At 54.6% G+C, this 5003-nt stretch overlaps 1 annotated feature.

The window, feature by feature from the left end:
* Positions 3919-4696: an enhancer, noted in NCBI's record as "H3K27ac-H3K4me1 hESC enhancer chr4:6749910-6750687 (GRCh37/hg19 assembly coordinates)". NCBI's record gives its function as "activates a minimal SCP1, AML or CMV promoter by ChIP-STARR-seq in naive H9 embryonic stem cells {active_cell/tissue: H9 hESC(naive)}" and the evidence as "EXISTENCE:reporter gene assay evidence [ECO:0000049][PMID:30033119]".

Genomic DNA, 5003 nt, shown 5'->3' on the forward strand with positions numbered 1-5003 from the left:
AGGTGGTCTATCCATACAGTGAAATATTATTCAGCCATGAAAAGGAATGAAGTGGCTAGATGCGATGGCTCACGCCTGTAATCCCAGCACTTTGGGAGGCTGAGGCAGGTGGATCACCTGAGGTCAGGAGTTCAAGACCAGCCTGGACAACATGGTGAAACACTGTCTCTCTAAAATACAAAAATTAGCCTGGCATGACGGTGGGTGCCTGTAATCCCAGCTACTCAGGAGGATAAGGCAGGAGAATCACTTGGACCCGGGAAGCAGAGGTTGCAGTGAGCCAAGATAGCGCCATTGCACTCCAGCCTGGGAACAGAGAAAGACTCCGTCTCAAAACAAAAAACAAAAAAACAGAAAGAAAAGGAAGGAAGCACTGATACACCTCAAAAACATGGTGCTAACTGAAAGAAGCCAGGCACAAAAGGCCACACATAGTATGATTCCATTCACATAATGTTCAAAATAGGTGAATTGATTGAAAAAATTAGTGGATTGGCCGGGCGCAGTGGCTCACACCTGTAATCCCAGCACTTTGGGAGGCTGAGGCGGGAGGATCATGAGGTCAGGCGATCGAGACCATCCTGGCTATCATGGTGAAACCCCATCTCTACTAAAAATACAAAAAATTAGCCGGGCGTGGTGGCGTGCGCCTGTACCCCCAGCTACTCGGGAGGCTGAGGCAGGAGAATGGTGTGAACCCGGGAGGGAGGCAGAGCTTGCAGTGAGCCGAGATCGCGCCACTGCACTCCAGCCTGGGCAACAGAGCGAGACTCCGTCTCAAAAAAAAAAAAAAAGAAAGAAAGAAGTGGATTGGTGGTTGCCGGGGACTGAGAGGAGGGAGAAATGGTGAGTGACTGCTAATGGGTGTGGGGTTTCTTTTGATGGTGATGAAAATGTTCTAGAACTAAGTAGACTATAGTTGTACAACATTGTAAACATACTAAAAACTACTGAGTTGTATACGTAAAATGATACATTTTATGTTATGTGAATTATATGGCAATAAAACATACATTAAAAACTAAATGGAGGCTAGGTGCAGTGGCTCATGTCTGTAGTCCCAGGACTTTGGGCAGCCAAGGCAGGTGGATCTCTTGAGGTCAGGAGTTCAAGACCAGTCTGGCCAACATGGCGAAACCCCCGTCTCTACTAAAAACACAAAAATTAGCTGGGCCATGGTGGCCCGTGCCTATAATCCCAGCTACCTGGGTGACTGATGCGTGAGAATCACTTGAACCCAGGAGGTGGCGGTTGCAGTGAGCTGAGATCACGCCACTGCACTCCAGCCTGGGTGACAGAAAGAGGATCTTTTTTTTTTTTTTTTTGAGACGGAGTCTCGCTCTGTCGCCCAGGCTGGAGTGCAGTGGCGGGATGTCGATCTCGGCTCACTGCAAGCTCCGCCTCTTGGGTCCATGCCATTCTCCTGCCTCAGCCTCCTTAGTAGCTGGGACTACAGGTGCCCGCCACCACGCCCGGCTAATTTTTTGTATTTTTAGTAGAGACACAGTTTCACCGTGTTAGCCAGGATGGTCTCAATCTCCTGACCTCGTGATCTGCCCGCCTCGGCTTCCCAAAGTGCTGGGATTACAGGCGTGAGCCACCGCGCCCGGCCAAAGTCTCTGTCTTAAAAAAGAAACAAAAAATAAAACAACAACAACAACAAAAACCCGAAAAGCAAAACAAAAACTAAATGTAAGAAAAGGTCTGAGAATGTATACAAATGACAACACTGAGTTTTATTTTGTATCCTTCTGGCATGGGTTGTTGCCACCTTCCCTTGGATTTTGCAACTGTTGCAAATCCATTTTCACGGAAGAGGGTGGGCCGGGATGGAAGTCAAAGAGCTCACACTTCCACTCAAGGCACAATATTCGTTCTGAGCTGTCACCGGTAGAGGCTGCTGGGCGGTGTCAACCCCTGGCCTTTCCATCCTGCCCTGAATCGGGTAGAAAAGCTTCTAGGAAGCCCTCAGGCACAAAGATGCAGATGCTGCCTCCAGCAGAGGGGCTGATGTCCCAGGAGAAGCCCTGAGGGCAGTGGCTGCCTACTCCAGTGGCCGCCCACCTCCGAAGGACGTCTTTGGTGCAGGTGATGGGTGCCTCTCCCTTTGGAGTTGCGGGTGCTGCTGCCCTGGGAAGCCCCCTCCTGCCTTTGCCCCTCCCCCATTGCTTAGATCCTGCTCTGTTCCTGATGCTGGCTGGGAGTGGGATTTTGACGTCCACCATGAATTGGAAGCTGACTGTCACACCATGGCAGCAGGGACCAGCACAGAGGCAGTGCTGCCCACGGCCATAGAGAGCCCTGAGTGAGGAGAGATCTGGGGAGTTCTGGGCCGTCCACCGGCAAAGGACAATGGATCTCCAAGGGGTGCGGCCAGCGGATGGGTGATGGCATGGATGGAGGGTGGGTGCATCAATGCTGGAGCATCAACTCTGTGTGCCCCTGCGGGGAGAATCGCCCCTGCCGAAGCCCCGGCTGGTCCAAAACCACGCCAGCCGCTTTAGGGGTGTCTGTGGACCCAGGACCACACAGCCTCAAGAGCCAAGAGTCCCGAGTGTGTGCACCTGTCGGCCTGGGTCTGGACTTGCAGCCCCAGGCAATGGGGCCCCAGGTCATGCTACCCATGGGTACACACAGCTGAGCATGAACGAGGGCACTCCTGCACTTGTGTGAGTGCTGGCAGGCTTGTCCCCCTCCCAGCTGAGCTGTGGGAGAGTGAGGGCAGGCGTGAGAATGTGGGAGTGTGCCAGGGTGCTGCATTCCTGTGCGAGCGATGGTGCGTGTGCATGAACGTTTGTTGGTGGGCGGGCACCTGTGTGCTTGCCTGGGAGTGAGAGGGAGTTGTTGGGGTGGCTACTGCTGGGAGCAGGGAGGAGGGGACCACAGCGGACCGCGGGGGACCTTCCCAAGCTGGCTGCCCGCCCAGGCTTCCGTGTGTTTTGGCAGGGCTACGCAGGCCCAAGGGCCCTCAGCGTCCAGGTAGAACTGCTCTGTCCAGACATTGCCCCTCAGCACCCTTCTTCCCTCTCGCCTCTCTCCTCCCCACACTCTCAGTCTCTTGCTTTGTCTCTGTCCATGGGTCTGTGGTCCTTTCTGTTTCCATCTTTCCCCCTCCATCTCCCTCTATTTCTCTGTCTCCCATTCACCCCCGGCTAAGGATCCTCCTTAGAGGCCCTAGGCCCTGCCACGCCTTCCTGGCAAGCACAGCCCAGCTGGCCTGGGAGCCAACAACCTTCCCTCCCAGGCACCAGTGTGGGTCGGGAGGGCCTCCAGGAAGTCCTCTCTCCTCATCTCTGACATGGCTCACTGTGACTGCATTTTATGGGGCCTTAATGAGTCCATTCAGACAGACAGAGCTGCACCAAGGTGTGGGGACAGACGTGATAATTAAAGAGGTTGCCAGTAGCCAGGATGGCTGGCACCAGGGTGTTCAGAAGTGTGACTAAAAAAGGCGGTGGGTGGGGCCTTCAGAGAGCCAGAGCCAGGGTAACAGCCCTGAGTGTGCAACAGCCTTGCTATCTGCTAAGTCCTCCCACCACCGTGCCTCCTGGGCACAGATCTGGGCAGACTGTCCTCTCACAGATGGAAAAACTGAGGCCAAGGGAGGGTCAGTGGACGGTTTGAGGCCACACAGCACAGCAAGTGTTTGCATGGAGACCGCCCTGCCCCTGGGCTATCCAGACTGGGGAGAGCCCCACCCAACTCCTGGCAGAGAAAAAGGCCTAGGAAGGGGACCTGAGCCAAGAAGCACAGGAGGCGAGGGGGACCGTCCGCCACTCAGACAGCAAACGCTTCCTGATGCCTCCATCACCACCTAAGAGGCTCGACTAGGTGATTTCCCGAGGTCGAGTTCCCTCCCTGCAAAGAATTCTGGGGCCTGCTATAAGGATAATTAAATATTCTCCACCTCACTTCGTTCCTGCACTCTTTCACTCATTCCGTGCACTCACTGGACACCTAGGGCCCCAAGGCACCTGTTTGAAGCTGGGGAGCCAGCAATGAATCTGGACCTGAGAAGTGGCACAAGGGGCAGGTGCTGAGGCCATAGGGCCCCTCCAAGGTCCAGCTGAGGGCCCCTCCCTACCCTGAGCTCCATCTTGTGGTGCGGCTGTCCATCTGTCTCCACTGGCCTGCGGCTCCTGTGGGCCCAGCGCAGGAGCTACCCACAGCTGCAGCCAAACAGCGTTGTTTGTCAAAGGGGGTGACAGCACCATTTGGGTGAAAAGCCTCATAAACAGCACAGGTTCATGCACAGGCGAAGGGTCATGAGAGTGTGCACTTAGGCTGGCTGGGTCGGGGGGCAGGAGAGGGGTCAGGCCAGGGCAGGGGCAGCGTCAGGAGGCCAGAGTGGTGACTTGGCCTTGGTCCAAAAGGATGCTGCCCCTGGCTTGGGAGAAGACCCCGCTGCCGGTCCCACCCTCCCAGGCTGACCTTGGCCAACACAGAGCCCAAGCACTCACCCCTCTGAAATATTTATAGATCGGGAAATTGAGTTGGAGAAGTGATTTCCCAGATCTACAGCTACTCAGAAAGAGGACTGGAATTCAAGTTCTGATGTCTCTGGTTTCTCCCACTGAATCCAGCAGCCCCCCATGTGTCGGTCATTTTTTTTTTTTTGAGACAGAGTCTCGCTCTGTCGCCCAGGCTGGAGTGCAGTGGCATGATCTCGGCTCACTGCAAGCTCCACTTCCTGGGTTCACACCATTCTCCTGCCTCAGCCTCCTGAGTAGCTGGGACTACAGGTGTCCGCCACCACGCCCGGCTAATTTTTTGTATTTTTAGTAGAGACAGGGTTTCACCGTGTTAGCCAGGATGGTCTCGGTCTCCTGACCTCGTGATCCTTCTGCCCTGGCCTCCCAAAGTGCTGGGATTACAGGCGTGAGCCCCCGCGCCTGGCCCCATGTGTCAGTCTTAATAATAACATAGCAATAACAATAGTAACAGCAGCAGCAACCCTTTGCAGATGAGCCTCGGGGTTAAAATGCACTTTCTCTAATTCTCTA

Source organism: Homo sapiens, chromosome 4 (assembly GCF_000001405.40).
Source record: "Homo sapiens chromosome 4, GRCh38.p14 Primary Assembly".
Taxonomy (NCBI): domain Eukaryota; kingdom Metazoa; phylum Chordata; class Mammalia; order Primates; family Hominidae; genus Homo; species Homo sapiens.